Here is a 24,841-nt window from a genome sequence, read left to right as displayed (position 1 = left end):
GCCCGCCTCGGCCTCTCAAAGTGCTGGGATTACAGGCATGAGCCACCACACCCAGACAGAACATCTTTAGAACAGCAAATAGTTGTCCTAGCTCTGTTTTTAATTAAATGTCATTGGTTTCTTATGGTAAGAGAGTGAATTTACATGTAACTTTTTTCCTTTCAGGTGATACGAGACTTAGATTTAACTGTCAGTTTTTCCAAATTTCTGGGAAAGTTTCCTAATGAAAAGTAGCATAATAGCTTAGGTAGTGGTAACGAAGTGGTAAAGCCCACTGACATACTAATTTCTACATTTTCTAACTCAGTGGCATATTGAATGTTCATCCCAGTTGCCTCCCGAGATGGCGTGGCCCAGCCCCTGTAATCCATACAGTGCTTCACGGAGACACAGTTACTGGAGTAACAATTATGCAAATTAGACCTAAAAGGTAGCACATATTTTCCTTTCTTGAGATTTTTGTGATTTTTAAATGTTGATGTCAGCCTGTTTGGGGGGCAGTGGATGAATGGGTGGTGCTCACTAATTTCTGTGACTCCAGAGTGCTTCTTCTGCTTTTATATCCTTTCTGTTTTCTCCTGGTTTCTAACATAAACCATATGTCTTTTGGTATTTATGCGGGGTCTCTTTAAAGTCCATATGTGAATTTTAATTTGTTAATTGAAATAGGTTATATTATTAATACTCGGATTTCTATAAAATACATTGTATAAATGAGAGATGGATTTTTGTATGTTAATTGTTTTGAATCTTGGTTTTGCTGGCCTTGGTTTCTAAACTATGGCCAAAAAATTTTTGGAACCTGAAATAAGAATATATTGTATATCAATATGCAATATAATTGTCCTAAAACATTCATTTTTTCCTGTCATACCTATAGTTTAGAACAATTTAGAAACAATTTAGAACAATTTTTTAGAAACAATTATTTAGAATTACTTGAGGAGTTTATTCAGTCTCTGCCTGTTACCACCTAATTTCCCCTTAGAAAAGAATAATTCACAAGTTCGCAAGAACAACGTGGTATCTGGGATTTGCTTTAACTTACTTCAGAAAACAAGAGAGAGAGTAGATGAGACAAGAGTGGCAAAACTTTGGTAGTTCTAAAATCTGAGCCAGGCATGGTGGCTCACGCCTGTAATCCTAAACTTTGGGAGGCCGAGGTGGGAGGATCACTTGAGTCTGGGAGTTCAAGACCAGCCTGGGCAACATATAAAAAATAAAAAAATTAGCCAGGTGTGGTGATACACACCTGTAGTCCCAGCTACTCAGGAGGCTGAGGTGAGAGGATCTCTTCAGCCTAGGAGGTTGAGGCGGCAGTGAGGCAAGATCGCACCACTGCATTCCAGCCTGGGCGACGGAGCAAGAACCTGTCTCAAAAAAAAAAAAAAAAAAATCTGAATGATGTGTATATGATGATTCATTAGACTGTTCACTCCGTTTTTGTGAATGTTTGCAATTTTTCACAATAAACATTTTACTAAAGCTCCTAGGTTAGAAATAGAATTAACAAAAACAAAAAGCAAAAAAAAATTAAATAAAGCATATTGCTCATGAAAACCTATGACCAGTGTTTACAGAGCTTGATATAAAATGTCAGACTTGTGGGAATGCAAATATACTTGCATTTACTTTTTTTTTTTTTTCTTGAGACGGGGTCTCACTCTGTCACCCCGGCTGGAATGTAGTGGGGTGATCTCAGCTCACTGCAACCTCTGCTTCCCAGGTTCAAGCGATTCTCCTGCTGCAGCCTCCCGAATAGCTAGGACTACAGGCACACGCTACCATGCCCGGCTAATTTTTTGTATTTTTAGTAGAGATAGGGTTTCACCATGTTGGCCAGGATCTCTTGACCTCGTGATCCACCCACCTTGGCCTCCCAAAGTGCTGTGATTACAGGCATGAGCCACTACGCCTGGCCCTACTTATAATCACCTATGGTGATAATCTAGGCAAAACTCTTATCCTTTGAGGAAGGGACTATAGAAATAAATAATTATGAACTTCCTAACTGTACTTCCATGGAAAATAAATTCTTTGCCTTATGCTTTTCATATACAAATAGAGATTTTTTCATGCTATTACTAATGATATAATTTTTCTGTAATTGTAATTAAATTCCTGATATGCAACTGTATCGTTTCTTTGCTTTAGGGAAAAATAAATTTAGACTCTAAACACAGGCCATATTTTGTTCTCCCGTCTTTCAAACTGACATATCTTCCTTGCTAATGTCTAACAGCCAAATTAATAGCCAGTGATAAACTATCTTTATTTATTTTTTTTAAGAGATAGGGGCTAGCTGTGTTGCCCAGGCTGGTCTCAAACTCCAGGGATCAAGCAATCCTGCTGCCTCAGCCTCCTGAGCAACTAGGACTATAGGCATGCAGACCACTGTACCCAGCTTGTATCTTTTTGTGTGTAGACAAACATTGATTCAGGAAATGGTAATCATTGTCATTATTTGCTTTTGATTTTTTGCTAGGTTTGATGTAGGCCCAATTCTCAAACAAGAAACTGTTCCTGTGCCACCCAAGAGCACTGCAAAGGAATTGGAAGCAGTGTTGTCAAGACTGGGTGCCAACATGGTATAATTCCCCAATATCCTACTGCTTTTTACTCATTTAGTGGGTTTCCTAAGTGGTTATAAAAAGAAGAACAATTTTGTGACTTCTAATTTTCTTAAAAACAAAAAAGAGTAATTTCTATCTTTGGCTTCCTAAAAATTAGCCTGGCATTTGTGATCTCATGTAAATCTTTGAGAATTTACAAAGAGTAAGTACTGAATAAAGGCTTTCAAGTGAAACAGGTGATCTTACATGACCTACTACATGCCATAGTGAGGTCTTAGACTATTCTTCTCAATTTCACTCTCCGCACTCTGGTATGTATACCTTGCATCCCTGTCAGAATGAACTAACAGCAATTTTCTAAGCGACTCTTAGCTTTCCTTCCATTTCTTTGCCTGGCTTCAGTCATTTGCACTAGAATTCTGCTGACCATTCTACCTATAGATGATCCTTCTTTTTTCTGTGGCTTTGTATATATAATTCATTGAAACTGCATGAGTAGAGTCTGGGTAAATGTTTAATGACTAAACTTATGTTTTCCATATGAACGGGTTAATTTTATACAGAGGAATATTTTTTTCCCACCTGTAGAGATGGTATTTCCTATTCTAGGCACTTACCTCACAAATGATCTTATAATAGTGACTGCCGTTTATTGAACATTGGCTTGTGTTCTACAACTGTTCTAGATACTGTATGGACTTTTTCTTTTTACCCTCTCAACTTTGAGGTAGTTGTTGCTGTTGATTGTTTCACAGATGATGACATTGAAGGCCAGAGACAAGCTAAATAACTTTTCCACAATGAGACAGCTGGTAGGTGGTAGAACTAGGACTTGAACCCAGAGCTGGGTGACTCCATAGTACATTGTCCTGTGAGGTTTCACTGCCTTGGCCCCCATGGGGTGAGAGTGTGTATAGCCAAGCCCGGGCTATCCTGATGCCAAAGCTTCCACAGCATTCTCTAGAAGTGAATCAATGACCTGTACTCTACAGAAAGCAGAATCTCTACTGAGGTTTCCCCAAGTAGACACCTATCCTCACAGCTTAAGCCAATGTACTACCTTACCCTGCCACATAGATCTTTTAAAGTTATAGGTTCAGCCTTGAAGAGCCAATAGTAAAGATTTTTTTTTTAATTTGAAAAAAGAAAAAGAAAAAAAGTTATAGGTTATTTCATGGTGCTGAATTGTAATGTGTTTCTGCTTTTGTTCTTCCCTTCATTTTGAATATATCACACTCTTTTTTTTTTTTTTGTAGCTCATTTCAGTTTTGAAAAATTTGCCTGAAAGTCTGAGCAATGGAAGGCAGCAGCCAATGGAGGGGGCGACTTACGGTGAGTGAAGGCTGCAGAGACTCTCATCTTTCTAAAGGTTCTGCTTGTCACGATAGCATCTGAACATTCTGACTTCTTAGCTGTACTTTTCCCTTAATTTTGATTGAGTGCCCACTTTTGTGTGCTTTTCCAAAGAATGGTAGAAAGCATTCTTTCTCCCTCTTAGCATATAGCCTCATGAAGGATTGAGCATTTTTTTCCAACTTCTTGATTTTGAAAATATTAAATAGAAAGACTGGTATAATAAACACCAGTTTACCCCAGAGTCAACAATTATTAATGTTTGTCCATATTTTCTTTCTCTTTATGTATTTATTACGTGTATTTTAAATTCTGCTTATTCATTTGGAAGTATGAATCATGATCTTTCATCTCTAAGTAGTTTAGTATGCCTTTCCTAAGAAAAATGAACAATTTCCTGATAGCATCCAATGTTCAGTTCATATTTAAGTGTTCCTAATTGTCTAAAAATTTATTTTATAGTTTTATTTTTCAAACTAGGATTTAATTGTAATTAGTTGTTATGTCTCTTTAGTCTCTAAAAAAAATTCCTCTTTTTTTCCTCTCTCTATGTCATTGACTTTTTGAAGAGACCAGGCCAGTTGTTTGATTTGTTTTCTTCCAGTGTTGTTTAACTTGTTCCCTATCTCTTATATTTCCTATAATTAGTTCTAAAGGTTTGGCTGGATTCAGGCTTAAAGTTTTTGGAAAGAGTGTGTTTCAGTGACATTTGTTTTCTTCTTTTTTGTTTTTTTTAGTAGAGTTAGGAGTATAAACATTTGTTTCAGTTTGTTTTTAATTTTAGGGATTACTTTTTATTTTTCTTTATGATTAAATGTTATTTTTTGAATATGTAAAACATATAGCTGATTCAAAAGTTAATATACCTAGAGAAGTCTCACTTTTGTCCCCTACAGTCTTAAGGTACCACTTGAGTAAGCCAAGATATCAGACTGTACTAAAGCAAGTGAAGCTAAGTTTGATCACTTGGTTGAGATGGTGACCACCAGATCTTTCCAGTGTTAAGATGTGTTTTCCCTTTTGCAATTAGCAGGTAATCTGTGGGGTAATTAATACTCTGGCACTGTGCAGATATCCTGTTCCCTAACAACCTTTCACATGATGGTTTTAGTACAGATTGATATTCCTTGCCCAAATGAATTATTTCACTATGGATTACAAAATGGCAATTTTCTAATTCCTTTTACATTTAATAGCTGGTATTGTTCTGGAAAGAAGAGTTTTTCCTCATTAATTGGAGGTGAATTTTAGTTCATCCTAAAATGGGGACAGGGGCTTAATTCTTTCTCTTTAATTAGAATAAGAAGTTGATGCCATTAATTGCCTTCAATTTTGGTGTCAGATGCGTTCTTTTTAGTATCATTTGACGCGTAGATTTTCATTGATTGTGTTTTACAGTCATAATTCTTTATATTTGCCCAGTGGGAGCCCCTTAAATTTGGCTCCTACATTCTGTTAACACTCTTCACTTCCCACTAGTTTGGAGTGCTTCCTTGCTTCCACCACAGTATGTCCCAGGCTCGCCTATGTGTCCTCTGGCTCACACTGAAATCAACCAGTGTGATTTCCAGGGAGCTTTTGTTCATTTTAGTGGGGTTGATAATTAGAGATCATCTGGTACAACAATGTATGGCAAGATAAGGTATCAGTGGACTAAACTAGAAGTTATATTTTTAAAAAATATTCAAGCTCATATTGTTTATGATTCAAATTTATCATTAAAGGGTTTTCCTTATATTTTCTCACACTATCTTTTTTTAAATATTAACCTATTTATTTGCTATTCATAACATCATTTCAGCATTACAATACCAATATTACTACTAAGAGTAAAAATACTAAGTAAGATTTAAGATTTCTTTACAGTTTTCCTTTTTGATCCTTAGAATATATCCTAAGGATATACAGTCAGATTACTGCCTTCAAAACTTCCTGGTAATGATTATTTTTTCCATGTGGTTTTGTTACCTAGTTTCATACATAGTTAAGTTTCAGTTGTTTTTTTTTTTATTTTAGGGATTGCTTTATTTTCTTTTATGATTAAATTTTATTTTTTGAATGCATAAAATATTTACATGGTTCAAAAGTTAAAACAGCTTAAAAAGGTACACTCATAGAAGTCCTACTTCCATCTCTATCTTATCTAACCCGTATTCCTCCCTCTATAGGTAACATTTTTATTAGTTTCTGATTTAGTCTTCCAGTGTTTCCTTTTGCCAAAATAAGCAAACACCTACATAGTGTTATTTTTTATTTTTCCTTCACAAAAGGTGGCATAAAATACATATTTTTCTGTGCCTTTGTTTTTTCACTTAATAGTGTATCATGGAGACTACTTCCTATTAGTAAGAAGAGATTTTCCTCCTTCTTTCTTTTTTTTTTAAGATAGGGTCTCTGTTACCCAGGCTGAAGTGCAATAGTGTGATCATGGCTTACTGCAGTCTCAACCTCCCAGGCTCAAGCAGTCCTCCCACCTCAGCCTCCCAAGTAGCTGGGACTACAGGTACATTCCACCATGCCTGGCTAATTTTTTAATTTGTTGTAGAGACAAGTTCTAACTATGTTGCTCAGGTTGGTCTTGAACTCCTAGACTCAAGCCGTCCTCCTGCCTTGGCCTCCCAAAGGCATGCCTGGCCTTCTTTTTGTTTTTTATGGTGGCATAGTTCTCAGCTATGTGAATATATCATAATTAACCCAACAGATGTCTTATTGATGGGCATTTGGGTTGTTTCCAATCTTTTGCTATTTCAAATAATAGTAAGATTAGGAAGATAACAGGCACATGGTTATTCAGAATAGTATAGTAAAACTACTTGGAGTAGTTTTAATGTACCTTATTCCTGTCAGTAATGTTGAAGATCTTTTCATATATTTAAGAACTATTTGCATTTCTTTTTTCTGGGTGGTAGTATATCTTTTGCCCATGTTCCTATCAACATTTTGGTCTTTTTCTTCTCAGTTTTTTGAGTACTTATATTTCATAATAGAGAAATTAGTCCTCTCTGAGATAACTTGCAAATTCAGTTTGTCATTTGTTTTTTGATTTAACTTATGGCATTTCTTTTTGTCTTTTTTTTTTTTTTTAATTTATTTTGCCTAGGCATGGTAGCTCATGCATCTAATCCTAGCACTTTGGGAGGATGAGGCGGGTGGATCACTTAAGGTTAGGAGTTCGAGACCAGCCTGGCAAACATGGCAAAACCCTGTCTCTACTAAAAATACAAAAAATTAGCCAGGCATGGTAGTGCACGCTTGTAGTCCCAGCTACTCGGGAGGCTGAGGCACAAGAATCTCTTGAGCCTGGGAGGTGGAGGTTGCAGTGAGCTGAGATCACGCCACTGCACTCCAGCCTGGGTGACAGGGCAAGACCCTATCTCAAAAAAAAAAAAAAAAGTTTGAATAGTCTCATTTCATAGTTAGAAGGGCATTTTCTACTCCCAGGATGTAAAGAAGTTCACCCATGTTTTATTTTAATATTTATATGATTATTTATTTATTATTTTTACTTGATATATGGAAAATTTTGAACATAAAGAAAAGTTGAGAGGTTAGAATGAATTCTCTGGTATCTCTTATTCAGTATCAATAGCTGTCAATTCATGGACACTGACCCTGATGTTCATTTTTGCTCTTGGTTTTATCTTGTAGCCCCTAAGATTTCTGCTGGTACCAGTTGTATAAAATGGGAGGAACAAACTTCAGAACAAATATTCAGACTTTACCGTGCCATTGGAAATATAGTAAGTTGGGAAGTCAGGTTGCAGTTCTACCTAGTTGGTTTTCTATGTGTGTAATTTGCTTTCTAAATATTTTTATTTAGGAATAATCCCAAATAAAAATATCCCAAATAAAAGGTTGATCTTAGGAACAAAACCTAGAAAACCTGAAATTTATTCTTAAAAATTCTTTAAGCTGTTTAAAGTGTTTATAGAGACCTTAGAATTCACAAAGCACTTTTAAATATATGTATATTGCAGTTTCACATAACCAAGTTTTACTATCCTACTTCATAGGTGAGGGGAAAGAAATGAGATGACTAACAGGAATGTCCAGTCACTAAATAATGAACTTAAATCTTCTCACTCCTAATCCTGTGCTTCTTCCAGTATGTCTTTCTGCCTTTAGCCAATTTTTTACAATCAAATTGTTAAATCATTGATTTCTACATATGGTACACCAAGTGTAGTAATATAACAGTTTGTTAAAATGTCTGAGTTAAATTCTCAGTTCATTGATAAATTTGTGGGGTTTTTTCCTTTCATTTCAATAGCTACTTGTGTTATTTGAACACTGAGCTTACCGTATGTGTGTTTGTGTGTGTGTGTTGTTTTATTTTTTGAGACGGGGTCTAGCTCTGTCACCCAGGCCTGGAGTACAGTGGAGAAACCTTGGCTCACTGCAACCTCTGCCTCCCAGGCTCAAGTGAGCCTCCTGTGACAGCCCCTGAGTAGCTGCAACCACAGGCACACACCACCACACCTGGCTAATTTTTGTATTTTTTTGTAGAGACGAGGTTTTGCCATGTTGCCCAGGCTGGTCTTGAACTGCTGAGCTCAAGTGATCCGCTCTTCTCAGCCTCCCAAAGTGCTGGGATTACAGGCACGAGCCACTGTGCCTGGCCAAGTGTGTGGTTTTTAATGGACCATCTCTGTTATTAATGTTGGGTAAAATGGGGAACCACCATTGGATATCTATAGCATGCTAAATTCTTCAGTAAGGAGGATCACAGACTCATGTTATAGTTATTATCATCCCACTTTAAAGTTGAAGAAATTGAGGCTTAAAGTAGATAATGAATTGTTATTAAGTGTTACTCGATGTCGTGTTGCTAGTTAATGAAAGTCAGAGTCAGGTTTTGAACGAGATCTATCTTACTTCAAATCCTATTATTTTCCTGCTGCCACAGAATGGCATCAGGAAACAAGGACCATAGGGCCAGACAGTGCTGGGTTCCATCTTGACTCTGCTACTTCCTAACGTCGTAGACTCAGGAAAGTTATTTAACCTCCGAGCTTTAGTTTGTTCCTTGGAATATCAGGGCTGGTATAATATATTTACAGCATCTTGTACAGTATCTGGCACAGAATAGGTACTCATTAAATGATAGCTGCTATTATTCATTCATTCATTAAACAAAATATTTATTGAAGGCCTATTATGTGTCAAGCAGTGTACTAGGTACTATAGAAACAGGTGTTGTGGGAGGACAGACAACAAGTAAGCAAAAAAAAAAAAAAAAAATCAGGCCAGGCATGGTGGCTCACACGTGTAATCCCAGCACTTTGGGAGGCTGAGGCAGATGCATCACCTGAGGTCAGGAGTTTGAGACCAGCCTGGCCAACATAGTGAAACCCTGTCTCTACTAAAAACACACAAAAAAATTAGCTGGGCGTGGTGGCATGCGCCTGTAATCCCAGCTACTAGAAAGGCTGAGGCAAGAAAATTGCTTGAACCTAGGAGACAGAGGTTGCAGTGAGCCAAGATCACACCACTGCACTCCAGCCTGGGCGACAGAGCAAGACTCTGTCTCAAAAGAAAAAAAAAAAAAAAGACCGGGCATGGTGGCTCACGCCTGTTATCTCAGCACTTTGGGAGGCCGAGGCGGGCGGATCACCTGAGGTCAGGAGTTCGAGACCAGCCTGACCAACATGGAGAAACCCCGTCTCTACTAAAAATACAAAAAAATTAGCCAGACCTAGTGGCGCATGCCTGTAATCCTAGCTACTTGGGAGGCTGAGGCAGGAGAATTGCTTGAACCCAGGAGGTGGAGGTTATGATGAGCCGAGATTGCACATTGCACACCAGCCTGGGCAACAAGAGCGAAACTCCATCTCAAAAAAAAAAAAAAAAAAATCAAATAGTGTGATAAATTCCTTGATGAAAATAAAAATAGGATCATGTGATAGAATAACTGGAGGTTATTTTAGATCGGTGATGGGGAAAGCCTCTTTCTGACACTTAAGCTGAAATCTGAAAGACAATAAGGAGCCAGCCATGCCTAGAACAGAGAAGAGCATTCCAGGCAGAGGAACAGCTAGTACAAAACCCAAGGTGGGCTAACCCAAAGAATCACAAGAAAAGGAAACTCCAGACTGATATCCCTGAATATAGATGCACAAGTCCTCCACAGAGTTAGCAAACTGAATCCAGCAACATATAAAAAAGGATTATACATGATGACTAAGTGGGATTGTTTTTTGGGTTTTGTTTTTTGTTTTTTGTTTTTTTTTTTTGAGATGGTGTCTCGCCCTGTCGCCTAGGCTGGAGCGCAACTGTGCAGTTTCAGCTCACTGCAACCTCCGCCTTCTGGGCTCTAGCAATTCTACCTCAGCCTCCTGAGTAGCTGGGATTACAGGCATGCAGCACCATGCTCAGCTCATTTTTTTGTATTTTTAGTAGAGATGGGGTTTCACCATGTTGGCCAGGCTGATCTCAAACTCCTGAACTTGAGTGATCCGCCCACCTCAGCCTCCCAACATGCTGGCATTACAGGTGTGAGCCATCACACCCTGCCCCAAGTGGGATTTATCCCAGGAATGCAAGGTTGGTTCAACATATGAAAATCAGTCAATGTAACATATCATATTAGTAGAATAAAGGACAAAAGCTACATCACTGTCTCAATAGATGCAGAAAAAGCATTTGACAAAATCCAACACATGTAAAAAAACCTCAATAAACTAGAAATAGAAGAGCATTTCCTCAACTTGATAAAGGACATCTATGAAGACCCTGTAACTAACATCATACTTAATGAAAGAAGCCAAGTGCAGTGGTGGACACTTGTAGTCCCAGGTATTTTGGAGGCTGAGCGGGAGGATTGCTTGAGGCCAGGAGTTCGAGACCAGCCTGGACAATATAGCCAGACTTTGTCTCTTAAAAAAAAAAGAAGAAGAAAGAAAGAAAATAAAAGAAAGACAAAGCCTTTCCCTTAAGATCACAAAGAAGATAAAGATGTCTGCGCTCTCAAAGTTAAATGTCTTCTATTCAACTTTGTTCTGTTGGGGCAGTTAGACAAGAAAAAAGAAACAAAAGGCAACCAAACAAAAGTTTGGAAAGGAAGAAGTAAAGCTGTCTCTATTTGTGGATGATATGATCTAGCATATAGAAAATCATGAAGAAGTTCCAAAAAAAACTATTAGAGCTAATAAACAGTAAAGAAGACCCAAGTAAATGGAAAGACCCCAGTATTCATTGATTGGATAAACTTAGTATTGTTAAGATGTCTCTACTCCCCAAGTTGATGTACAGATTCAACACAATTCCTAAAAAAAAAATCCCAATTGGCTTCTTTGTACAAATTGACAAGCTGCTCCTAAAATGTATACAGAATTGCAAGGGGCCCAGAATAGCCAAAACTAACAAAATTGGAGGACTCATAGTTTTCAGTTTCAAAACTTGCTGTAAAACTACAGTAACCAAGATAGTGTGGTACTGGCTATAGCTCATTAGAATCGAATTAAGGGTCTAGAAATAAGCCAGGCATGATGGCTTATGCCTGTAGTCCCAGCACTTTGGGAGGCTGAGGCAGGTGGATCACTTGAGGTCAGGAGTTTGAGACCAGCCTGGCCAACATGGTGAAACCTCATCTCTACTAAAAATATTTACAAAAATTAGCCAGATATGGTGGTGCACGCTTGTAGTCCCAGCTACTCAGGAGGCTAAGGCACGAGAATCACTTGAACCTGGGAGGTGGAGGTTGCAGTGACCTGAGATCACACCACTGCACTCCAGCCTGGGTGACAGAGTGAGACTCTGTCTCAAATTTTTTTAAAAGTCTAGAAATAAACCCATACATTTATGGTCAATTGATTTTTTTTTCTAAAGGTAGTTCCCAAAAGATAGTTCTTTTTATTATTATTATTATTATTATACTTTAAGTTCTAGGGTACATGTGCACAATGTGCAGGTTTGTTACATATGTATACATGTGCCATGTTGGTGTGCTGTACCCATTAACTCATCATTTACATGAGGTATATCTCCTAATGCTATCCCTCTCCCCTCCCACCCACCTTTTTTTTTTTTTTTTTTTTTTTTTTTTTTGACAAGAGTGCCAAGACAATCCAATGGAGAAAGAATAGTATTCTCAATAAATGGAGCTGGGATAACTGGATGTCCACAATCAAAAGAATGAATTTGGACCCTATGTCACATCATATGTAAAAGTTAAAGAAGCTAAATGAATAGCTAAAACTAGAAAACTCTTAGAAGAAAATATAGGTGTAAATATTCATGACATTGAATTAGGCAGTGGTTTCTTAGCTATGATGCCATGAAGCATAAGCAATCAGACTAAAAATAGAGAAATTGGACTTCATCAAAATTAAAAATAGTTGTGCTTCAAAGGACACTATCAACAAAGTAAAAAAGACAGGTAGGCCAGGCATGGTGGCTCATGCCTATAATCCCAGCACTTTGGGAGGCTGAGACAGGAGGACTGCTTGAACCCAAGAATTTGAGACCAGACTGGGCAATGTAGTGAGTCCCCATCATTACAAAAAGTAAAAAATTAGCTGGGCATCATGGTGCACACCTGTGGTCCTAGCTACTTGGGAGGCTGGAATGGGAGGATGCACTTGAGCCAGGGAGGTCGAGGCTGCAGTGAGCTGTGATTGCACTACTGTGTTTCATCCTGGGTGACAAAGTGAGACCCTGTCTCAAAAAAAAAAAAAAAAAAAAAAAAAAAAGACAGCTTACAGAATGGGAGGGAATATTTGCAAATCATATAACTGATAAGGGCCTAATATCCAGAGTAAAGAATTCTTACAATGACTCAGCAGTAAAACGACAAATAACCCAATTAAAAATGGCCAAAAATTCTGAGTAAACATTTCTTTTTTGTTTGTTTTTGAGATGGAGTCTTGCTCTTGTTGCCCAGGCTGGAGTGCAATGGTGCGACCTTGGCTCATTGCAACCTCTGCCTCCTGGATTCAAGCGATTCTCCTGCCTCAGCCTCCCTAGTAGCTGGGATTATAGGCAAGCGCCACCACGCCCGGCTAATTTTTGTACTTTTAGTAGAGACGGGGTTTCACCATGTTGACCTGGCTGGTCTCGAACTCCTATCCTCAGGTGATCCACCTGCCTCAGCCTCCCTAAGTGCTGGGATTACAGGCATGAGCCACTGCCCTGGCCCTGAGTAGACATTTGTTTCAAGCAGATACATAATATGAATGGCCAGTAAGCATATAAAAGATCAGCAACTTCATCTGTCTTTAGGGATATGCAAATCAGAACCACAATGAGATACCACTTCACACCCATTAGGATGGCTATAATTCAAAAAACAGACAAAAACTAGTGTTGGCAAGGATGTGGAGAAATTTGGAAACTTCATACATTCATGGTACCATGTTTACCTCTTAAAAATGGTGCAACCTGTGTGGAAAACAGTTTGGCAGTTCCTCAAAAAGTGAAACACAGAAGTATCTTATGACCCAGCATTTCCTTTCCTAGGTTTATACTCAAGAGAATTGGAAACATTGTGCTCACACAAAAATGTGTACCCGAATCTTCATAGCAGCATTATTCAGAATGGCCAAAAAGTGAAAACAACCCAAATATCCAACTGAGGGATGCGTTAAAAAAATGTGGTATATAGCCATACGGTGGAATATTATTAATACTCAGCCATAACCATAATCACATGCTTATGACATGGATGAACCTGAAAAATATGCTAAGTGAAAAAACCCTGTCACAACAGACTACATATGTTATTATTCCATTTATATGAAATGTCCAAAATAGGCAAATCCATAGGCTGGAGGAGAGAGGATAATGGGAATTTTCTGATAATGGATGGCGTTTTTTCTGGGAGAGAGAGGTAATGAAAATGTTCTAAAAATTAGGCAAGAAAAAAACGAGTGACATTGGTTGAATGACCCTGAGTCTACTAAAAACCACTGACTTGGAAGCTTCAAAAGGGTGAATTTTCTGGTATGTGAATTACATCTCAATAAAGCTGTCAAAAAACAAAACAAAACAAAAAAACAACCCAAGATGGAAAAGAGTTGGACATGTTTGAGGGACAGAAATGAGGCTGGTGTGGCTGGAGCATAGCTGGCAAGATGGAGAGTAGCTAAGGTGAGGGGAGAAGCAAGATTGAGTAGGATTGACATCAGAGGGCCACGGCAGGGGAGTAATGGGATTAGGTATGTACATTCTTAAAAGGTTGCCCTGGCTGCTGCTAGAGAGTGGAGTGGAGGTCAGTTAGGGAATTGGTTGGGTGTGGTGGCTCACACCTGTAATACCAGCACTTTGGGAGGCCAAGAAGAGTGAATCGCTTGAGCCCTGGAGTTCCAGACCAGTCTGGGCAACATGGTGAAACCCTGTCTCTACAAAATATACAAAAATTAGCTAGGTATTGTGGGATGCACCTGTAGTCCCAGCTACTCGGGAGGCTGAGGTAGGAGGATCACTTGACCCTGGGAGGTTGAGGCTGCAGTGAGCTGTGATTCCACCACTGCACTTCCAGCCTGGATGACAGAGCAAGATCCGGTCTTTAAAAAAAAAAATTAAAAAAATAAAAAGAAGCTGCTGCGACTGTAGCCAGATGACAGATGATGGCAGTTTGGAACAATGATAATGGTGGATAAAAAGAAGTGGACATCCAGACTATGCTTGGAGATAGAGTCAGCGGAATTTGCTGATGGAATCTGGGAAATTAGAGATAGATAAATTAGGATCATTCATAGATTTTTGGCTTGAGAAACTGGGTGAATAGTGGAACCATTTAATTGAGATGAGGATGTCTGGGGAGGAACATTTGGGAAGAGAAATCAATAGTTTTGGCCATGTTAAGTTTGACATATATTAAGTTAGAAGACGTTCATATGGAGATATCAAGTAGACAACTTCCTGAGATGCAATTTAGGCCAGTAGCTTGAAATCTCTTGGCACCTATAACTTACTACATGATGATTCTTACCCTCTGCGGTTTATCTTCCCTGTACATGGAGAAAAGCTTTGTGCTATAAAAGACTGAGCCAGAAGGTGGGGTTTGGTTCCTAGAGTTGCCCTTTACTAATGAGAGGAAGGCCCTTGTCTTTGAGCTTCTGCTTTTTTTACCTCTAAAGTGGGATTAATGACCATGTACACAACTGGCAAGATCAAAGGAAATGAACTAGGTGAATGTAAATTCATGCAAACATACTATTTTGGCAGTAATGATGGCAGACACCAAAATGATTATATTCTTACCATCCCTTTCCTTTCTACAATGCTCTGATGATAAGGTGAGCTTTACCTCCCGAAGAACAAGACTATATTCTGAGTATGTACCTAGCATGTTTATTACTCTCAGTAAATAGAAATCTTTTTTAGTCAGTAAGCATGTTTCAAAAATATTTTGAGTTATTTAAAAGAAAAAAATTGCACATATGAAAATCGTTTCAGAACTTTTATTGAAGCGGGCAAAAGAAAAGTGAGCTAGCAAGTTATAGAAGAGGCTATGACATAGATACAGTTATGAACTTGTTCTTCAAATTCATTTACTTATTTGATTTAATGTTCAAATTATTACAACAACCTAACTCTTCTGAAAGTTAAATACCCTCTTTAAGGGGTGTCATAAAAAGAGCACTGCACTGAGAATCAGAAAACAGAAGCCAGTCCTGGCTTTGCTACTAACTAGCTGGGTCCAACCTTGGGAAAATAGCTGCATTTCTCTGAGCCTCACTCTCTTCATGTATGAAATAGAGGATTGAACTACAGTCTGGAAATAAATGCATTCAATTCAGAAATTTTAGAGAACTTATTTCCTGGTGTGTGTTAAATTTTATTAACATTTAAATCAGGCTGTAGGATCTCAGGTATGTTGGAAATGTGTTACATGATAAAGGTGGTATTTCATACTGGAGGGAAGGGTAAGATGGATTATCTAGTAAATAGTATTGGGATAACTGGCCAACCATTGGTGGGGGAAGCCCTCAAATCCTATCTTTTAAAATCATAGTAAGTGCTATATTATAACAATGCATATGTAGTTAACAATACTGTATGGTATACTTACAATTTGTTAATTGAGCACATTTTTCTTATGTGTTTTTTACCATAATAAAAAAATCAAAATATAGATGGATCAAGGATTTAAATATAAAAAGTAAAATCACAAGGACTATAAAAAAGCACAACTGAATAATTTGACAATATTTAATAATCTTAAAGTGTGGGGTAGGCCTTTTTAAGTATGATACGAACCACCAAAGTAATGAGAGAAAAGACTTAGAAATATAATTATGAAAATAAAAAACTTATGCATGGAAAAAATGGCTGTCCCCAAGATTAAAAGTCAACAAACTGAGGAAAATATTCACAACACATGTAAGAGTTAAAAGGCTAATTTCCTAAATATAGAAAATATTTTTGCAAATTAATGAGATAACCATCCCAGTTTTAAAAAATATAACCAAAGGGCATAAATAGGCAGGTTACAGATAAATAAATTAAAAGTGCACATAAATATATGGACAGCTTCTCAGCTTCGCTAATAATAAACAGCAAGAGATTATCATATTTTTTTCTCACTTATCCAGGCAGTTTAGCAATAAAATGTTGATGCTGTTTAACCCACGCATTCCACTTTAAAAACAAAAAACCCCAAAACTATTATCCAGAAATGTGTAAGCCCTCAAAGATATATCGACAAGGTTATTACCCTAGTTTATAGTGTTATAAATAGCAATAAATTGAAAATAACAAATATCTATCATAAAGGTAGTTGCATAAATTACATATTCATAAAATGGGTTACTGTGCAGCAGATAGAGTGAAATTGATAAGTATGTACTGATGAAACATCAATGCTTTATGGTCACATAACAAAAGTCCTTGTAAAACAGTATTGATGCAGGACTTTTTGCTCCTTAACTCAGCTAAAATCTGGGTTCTTGTCTCACAACCAGGAAAAATTAGGCACGTGGACACATTGAAAGGTGAGGAGAGTGGAATTTATTAAAAGAAAGCTCTCAGCAAAAAAAGAGGGGGTCCTGCCAACAGGCTCCCACCTCACAGATTGAATACCAGGCCACCACACAGGAGCTGAAGAGGCCAGGCTCTTCCCCTGCATAAGGCAGAAATTCCTGGTGGCTCCACCCCCATTCTTCCAGTGCTCATGCGGGCCCTTAGTCTGAGCCACGCCACCTTGATTTATTTCCTTTACTGTGCATGTGTTAAGGGACAGAACTTTTCACCATGGACATGTTGAGTCAAGCCCACTGTGCATAATGACCTGGGTGGCATTTGGCTGTCTCCTGTCTCTATCACTGTGTTCTAGATTTTTATAATAATATTTGTAGAAAAAAATACAGGGAAATGCACATCAAACTTAACAGTCGTTACCTATAGGGATGGGAATAAATACAGAATATCACTTTCTAAAATTTTTTAACATAATGTAATGCTTGCATTTTTTATAAGGATAATAAATTTTTAATTGGAAATATTAGTATATTAGATATAAACATTGATTTTAAAGTAACATTTAAGATCTTATAAATCGGCCGGGCGCGGTGGCTCACGCCTGTAATCCCAGCACTTTGGGAGGCTAAGGCGGGCGGATCATGAGGTCAGGAGATAGAGACCATCGTGGCTAACATGGTGAAACCCCGTCTCTACTTAAAATACAAAAAATTAGCCGGGCATGGTTGCAGGCGCCTGTAGTCCCAGCTACTCGGGAGGCTGAAGCAGGAGAATGGCGTGAACCCGGGAGGCGGAGCTTGCAGTGAGCCAAGATCGCGCCACTGCACTCCAGCCTGGTGACACAACGAGACTCCGTCTCAAAAAAAAAAAAAAAAAGATCTTATAAATCCTGGAAACACTGATGTAGAGAGTCATGTTTACGGTCTGTTCCATCAAACTTAGTGACTGAGTTCCCAATTCCTCTAATTGAAAGAAAAGTCCAGATTAACACAAAATAGTAGTTGAAAAGGGTTTGGGAGTTGAGTGTATTCCTTTATCATACCTTCTTTAATTTTACTTGCAGATTCCGTTGCAGACGCTCTGGATGGCGAATACCATTAAACTTCTGGATTTGGTAGAAGTTAACAGTTCAGTCCTTGCTGGTACTAACTTTTGAATAGCTAACATGGAAGCTGTTTTCACTGTAGTGTATCTGGAAATACGTCTGTTTTATCATATGTCACAATTACTAAAAATAACTTTTAGTTTGTTTCAGTTCAGTAATTATAATACTTTACATTCACTTATTGTCTTATTCTTTGCAACACTCATTCTCATATATTTTCTCATTTAATCATTACAAGAACAGGCCAGGCGCGGTGGCTCACGCCTGTAATTCCAGCACTTTGGGAGGCCAAGGTGGGTGGATCAGCTGAGGTCAGGAGTTCGAGACTAGCCTGACTGACATGGTGAAGCCCCGTCTCTACTAAATACAAAAATTTAGCTGGGCATGGTGGCACATGCCTGTAATCCCAGCTACTTGGGAGGCTGAGGCAGGAGAGTCACTTGAACCTGGGAGGCAGAGGTTTCAGTGAGCCAAGATTGCGCCGCTGCACTCCAGCCTGGGCAATGAGTGAAACTCCATTTCAAAAAAAAAAAAAAAAAAATCATTACAGGACCCTGGGGAGTAGGCAAAGCAGTGTTCCTATCCCATTTTAAGCTCTGTGATTTCCTGCCTTAAGGTTTTCAGAGAGTGCAGAATGACTCGATTAGTTTCATTCTGGTGAATATTATAATGAAAATATCTGGGCAAATCAGTGAAAATCTAGGCCAGAGTGTATTCATACTTCATGCCACAAGTCCATTCTGAGGCCCATCAGCATCCTGCCAATACGGTGGACAGAAGGAATGTGAGCCACAGAGGAAGCTGGTTTAATTTAGAGGTAGTTGGAGTTCCCCAGGAACCTAGGAATTAGGATTTGTTTGGGCAGGGATGAAAGGGCCAGCCTAAATCCTAAACATCCTATGTATTTCCCCCTGTTGGCTAGTTATTTCACCAAAGCGCTAACACAAAACTTGTAGATTCAGCATTTTAGGTGGTCACTGGGTAAAGGAATTATAGCTTTGTATGTGCATGGGAAGCTTTCCTTTGGGTTTCTGATGTACAGAGAGCACTGTGGTTTCCTTGTAAGTTTTGGTTTACAAAGTCAACATCAGCAAATGTGTTCTCTCCGGTATCAGTACTGCCTCCCAAGATGTTTTTTGATTTTTAAGAAGTACTATGAAGTTGCATAATTGCTTTTTTCTCTTGTATATCTTTTCTTTTTTCCATTCTTCAGATCCAAAATTAACGGGACAGGCTCTTATTCCAGGATCAGTAATATACCACAAACAGTCACAAATACTATTGGTTTATTGCAAGGTATGTTTTTCATTAGTTTCAAGTTATCATAGTTGTTTTACTATGTTATAGTCTGTATCATTTATTATTTTTAGTTGGAACTTCACTTAACTGCCTGTCCATAGATTGGGTCAGGAGATCATTTAATTTTCTTAAGAAATAGTGAAGTCTCTAGCATAATTTTTTGAAAGTGATGAAGTTTTGCCAAGGCATTATTATTACTCAAAGAAAGAAGATTCAGTAACTTGAGTGCTTTCTTAAAAGAACACGTGTATTTTCAGTAGCCCAATTTAATTAACAGCTCTTGTGCTTGGTAACATAAAAGATAGTCATATCAAAATATCTGACTGAACTACTACAGGACACACATATCCTACTTGCTTTTACTGCTTAACAGTAGTAAAGAGGAGATTTCTGAACTTTTTAAAATAACTTTGGAATCATTATTGTTTTATAAGATCATGGTGTGTTCTGAGAAGTGTTCTACATTCCTTCCATTTCCTAGGTATTTTGCATCATATGGTGTTCATGTGAGATATTTCATACTTAAGAGTGTTTAGCCGGGCAAGGTGGCTCACACATGTTATCCCAGCACTTTGGGAGGCTGAGGCGGGTGGATCACCTGAGGTCGGGAATTCGAGACCAGACTGACCAACATAGAGAAACCCCGTCTTTACTAACAGTACAAAAATTAGTCGAGCGTGGTGGCAGACGCCTGTAATCCCAGCTACTTGGGAGGCTTAGGCAGGAGAATCGCTTGAGCCCGGGAAGCGGAGGTTGTGGTGAGCCGAGATCGTGCCATCACACTCCAGCCTGGGCAATAAGAGCGAAACTCCATCTCAAAAAAAAAAAGAAAATGTTTAAAATGTGTGATAGATTGATCTGACCTACAGACTGTGAATACAAAACTCCATCAACCTCTCTTTGTCTCTCGCCAGCTTATTCTGGAACAGTGTTGGATGCATATGTCTTGCTGTCCTTTTCTGGGTCTATATATATGTATTTCCCTTTTTTTTTTTTTTTTTTTTTGAGATGGAGTTGCCCAGGCTGGAGTGTAGTGGTGTGATCTCAGCTCACTGCAACCTCCACCTCCTGGGTTCAAGCGATTCTCCTGCCTCCGTCTTCCAAGTAGCTGGGATTACAGGCACCCGCCACCACGCCTGGCTAATTTTTGTATTTTTGTAAGGACGGGGTTTCGCCATGTTGGTCAGGCTGGTCACGAATTCCTGACCTCAGGTGATCCACCCGCCTCGGCCTCCCAAAGTGCTGGGATTACAGGCGTGAGCCACCACGCCTGGCCTATATGTGTATTTCATGTTACATACCTTTTATTCTGCTCCCTTTGTATTTAAATATTTATACAGATCTATACATTTGTTATCGCTCCTTGGTAATAAGCTTTTAATTTCAGTGTCAAAAACCGCAATGACTTTTGCACCAACCTAATAGAGTCAAGGAATTCTACATGTTACTTAGTGTAGTGCTGTTTGCAGCTAGGCATTTAGTAAAGATTTGTTGGTTTGTTTGTTTCCATGATAAAAATTTTATAAACTAATATTTACTTGGCTTTTTAGTTTTGCCACCCCTGCCTATTCACTATTTGTATTTTGCCCTTTAGGATGGTTGGATTGGTGTTCGATCAGTGATGCTCAAGAAATCACTAACAGCTACTGACTTCTACAATGGATATTTGCACCCCTGGTACCAGAAAAATTCCCAAGCTCAACCAAGCCAATGCAGATTTCAGACTCTCAGACTTCCAACAAAGAAGAAGCAGAAAAAAACTGTTGCTATGCAACAATGCATTGAGTAGTTAGGAAGAAGATGGATAAAAACCTATTACATATTTGTAATTTATTAAAAACCTTATTTACAAGGAATTATCTGGACTTTTTTTTTTTTTTTTTTTTTTGAGACAGAGTCTCACTCTGTCACCCAGGCTGGAATCCAGTGGCACTATCTCAGCTCACTGCAACCTCCGCCTCCCAGGTTCAAGCAATTCTCCTGCCTCAGCCTCCTGAGTAGCTGGGATTACAGGCACACGCCACCACACGCAGCTAATTTTTGTATTTTTAGTAGAGATGGGGTTTCACCATGTTGGTCAGGCTGGTCTCGAACTCCTGACCTTGTGATCTGCCCACCTCAGCCTCCCAAAGTGCTATGATTACAGACGTGAGCCACCGTGCCTGGCCTGGAATTATCTGGACTTTCAAAGAAGATGGCATTATTATAAGAAGAGAAGATTATTGCCGAAAAGATGGATTGCCTCACTTTCCACTTTTTATGTAACAGTAGTTAAAAAACAGCTTTTTTTTTACTTGAATTACAAAAAAGTTTAAATAAAACTTGTATTTATGATACGAAACTCAAGGAGATTATCTTTCCTTAAGAACAAGGGCAACCCTAACTGGTGTATGTATGTACCTACATACATACTGAGAAGAGGTTTTTTGTTTTTATTTTTATTTTTTTGAGACGGAGTCTTGTTCTGTGGCCCAGGCTGGAGTGCAGTGGCGTGATGTCAGCTCACTGCAAGCTCCACCTCCCGGGTTCACACCATTCTCCTGCCTCAGCCTCCCAAGTAGCTGGGACTACAGGCGTCCGCCACCATGCCTGGCTAATTTTTTTTTTTGTATTTTTAGTAGAGATGGGGTTTCACTGTGTTAGCCAGGATGGTCTTGATCTCCTGACCTCGTGATCCACCCGCCTTGGCCTCCCAAAGTGCTGGGATTACAGCTGTGAGCCACCGTGCCTGGCCGAGAAGAGGTTTTTTTAAAAACAGTGCATCTATTTAATTTTTTAAAAATCGTGTCACCACTGACATTTTAGGAGTATTGAATCTGCATTTTTTATTTCCTATAAGTAGTAAATCCAGCTCTTTACATTTCACTACCAGCTAGATTTAACCAAGTAGTAAACGTAGGTAATATTTAATAATCTCTGCCACATTGATCTGTACTATAAATTAACATTTTACATCCAGATTTTATTTTTTTTTATTAATTTTTTTAGAGATGGGGTCTTGCTCTCTCACACAGTCTGGAGTCCAGTGGCGTGAAACACTGCTTACTGCATCTTCAACCTCCTGGGCTTAAGTGATCCTCCAGCCTCAGCCTCCCAAAGTGGGGCCACCACGCCTGGCTAATTTTCTTTCTTAGTTTTTAAAAAAAATTTTGTAGAGATAGGGGTCTCACTATGTTGCTTAGGCTGGTCTTGAACTCCTGGGCCCAAGCAATCCTCCTGCCTTGGCCTCTCAAAGTGCTGGGATTACAAGCATGAACCACTGCACCCGGCCCAGGTTTTCTTGAAGTAGGAACGTGCTAACATTTTTCAACTTACTTGTGCAATAAAGGTTATTGAGCATCTGGTGTGTGCAAACTCATCTTCTCTGTCTCCAGGAGAGTCAGAAGGAGGAGGAGAAGGAGGCACAGTGGCCGCAGAATCCACACATTGGCTTTTCCTGCCTAGATTCTGACAGTGAAAGTCTTTCTCTATTCTTTAAGTCATTTGTTAATTCAACATTTATGGATAGGGTGATTTGGTCATCTAAGTTAGGATGCTTTTATGAGTGAAAGAAGCACTTATAATTACTCCAGGGCAACAGACATAAACCAGGACTCTCCCAGGCAAACTGGGTTGTGTGGTCATCTGATGTATTGAGCACTTACTGTGTAACTAGAACTTCAAACTGGTTACCAGAGATTCAGAGATCAAATATTTGACATCTTCAACCTACCAGGGAGACAAATGTGTAAGCGAATATAATAGTTATAAATGCCATAGTAGAGGCATAAGGGAAGCATTGTGTCCCTCACGGGTGTCAATGGAGGCTTCCCAGAGGAAGTCAATGGAATTAGCTTCCAAAGGATGAGTTTACTATGCAGACTAAGGCCTGGAAGGACATTCTAGCATGTGCAGAGGCACAGAGACTTAAAAGAACACTATAGGGTGTTTGGTAATGTTTAGGTGGGAGCATGATTGTTCTTTTATTATTCTTTAAGCCATAAATTTGTCATACATTCCCTTGTATGTATGAGCTAGTTATAGAGCTGGCTGGGAAAAAGCTAACAATGGATTATGGAAGAGAAACAAATGGCATGTTGAATACCGGGGGAAAGCCCAGCGTTTTGATGAAAAGAATTGATGAGTGGAATCTGGTGATAGAAATGAGACTGCAAAAGCAAGCTGAGGCCTGATCATGGAGGACTTTGAAAACCATGAGAGTTAGGGCCTTTGTCTCATATGCAGTAGCCTGTGAGTAGAGTGGCGTGATCAGAGTTAGATTTTGGAAATTTAACTTTGGTGGTGGTGTGGAAGATAGGTTGGGGGTAAAACCTGGGCAGGAAGATCCGTTGGAAGGTTAGAAATGTGATCTTCAGGGACATGGATGGAGCTGGAAGCCATTATCTTCAGCAAACTAATCCAGGGACAGAAAATCAAACACTGCATGTTCTTACTTATAAGTGGGTGCTGAACAATGAGAACACATGGACACATGGCGGGGGAACAACACACAGGAGCATCTTGGGAGTGGGGATGGGGATGGGGGGAGGGAGAGCATCAGGAAGAATAAGGGATGCTGGGCTTAGTACCTAGGTAATGGGATGATCTGTGCAGCAAACCACCACGGCACACATTTACCTGTGTAAAAAACCTGCACATCCTACACATGTACCCTGAATTTAAAAGTTGAGGATAAAAGAGAAAAGGAATGTGAAGATCTGAGTTACGTCAGTGGTTAGGATAAAGGGGAGATGACTGAAAAGATTTTTGTGGGTGAGGGAATTTGAGTTATTGGGTATTATATCCTTATGGAGAGTTTTAGCTCCACCACTGATGAGCTCTTTGATCTCTGACAAGTCAGTATCACTGAACTTTATTTCCTCAAGTGTGAAATTAGGCTGATGATGAAAACAAAACACTACCAAAATAATTTTGAGAATCAACAAGAGACTGTGAAAGTGCCTTGTTTTTCCAATTGTATGTATTGAACACTTAATCCCCTCCAGGCACTCTGCTCATGTTAGGGAATTGGGAGAGAACGGAAATCAGTGTCGTCTAGGAGCTCATGAGTACGATTTCTGCAGGGGATCTAAGGAAGTGCCCACTCAGACACTGCCACCAGGACTGGGGAAACCTTACTGAGGGCACAGCTTCCCGTCAGAGTTGTGACCCAGGAAAGGTTGGATTCCTCTTGCAACACCTAAGCAATATTCTGCCCCTTCCATCCCCTCAAACAGGGTAACAACCTCGACAAGGGGAATCTTGAATAGTTGAAGGAATCGCAAAGGAGATCCCTTAAACCTTCACAATTGATGAAATCAGTAATCTGTGTGTGTGAAGTTAGGCTCTTGGTTGCAAATAATAGACTTGAAACACTTTAAAGAAATGGGGATTTTAGGCCAGGCATGGTGGCTCACGTCTGTAATCCCAGCACTGTAGGAGGCCAAGGCAGGCAGATCACCTGAGGTCGGGAGTTCGAGACCAGCCTGACCAACATGGAGAAACCCCGTCTCTACTAAAAATACAAAATTAGCCAGATGTGGTGGCGCATGCCTGTAATCCCAGCTACTTGACAGGCTGAGGCAGGAGAATCACTTGAATCGGGAGGTGG

At 39.1% G+C, this 24,841-nt stretch overlaps 1 protein-coding gene across 4 annotated transcripts in view; it reads left to right on the top strand.

Annotated features, from left to right (window-relative positions):
* MTFMT (mitochondrial methionyl-tRNA formyltransferase) overlaps positions 1-22,590 on the top strand; it is a 28,128-nt gene extending 5,538 nt beyond the window's left edge. For 2 of the 4 annotated variants that reach the window (NM_139242.4, XM_005254158.6), the window contains exons 3-9: positions 308-430; positions 2,486-2,588; positions 3,830-3,905; positions 7,575-7,666; positions 17,911-17,989; positions 19,166-19,248; positions 20,846-22,590. In NM_139242.4, the coding sequence (NP_640335.2) occupies positions 308-430; positions 2,486-2,588; positions 3,830-3,905; positions 7,575-7,666; positions 17,911-17,989; positions 19,166-19,248; positions 20,846-21,040 (751 nt within the window). In that variant the 3' untranslated portion in view covers positions 21,041-22,590. Of the gene's footprint in view, positions 1-307; positions 431-2,485; positions 2,589-3,829; positions 3,906-7,574; positions 7,667-17,910; positions 17,990-19,165; positions 19,249-20,845 lie in introns of those variants that run through there. The other 2 variants (XR_001751081.2, XR_007064421.1) reach the window with 2 other exon arrangements.

This window comes from Homo sapiens, chromosome 15 (assembly GCF_000001405.40).
Source record: "Homo sapiens chromosome 15, GRCh38.p14 Primary Assembly".
NCBI lineage: Eukaryota > Metazoa > Chordata > Mammalia > Primates > Hominidae > Homo > Homo sapiens.
The sequence above is the reverse complement of the archived record's forward strand: the minus strand, read 5'-3'. Positions and strand labels throughout refer to the sequence as shown.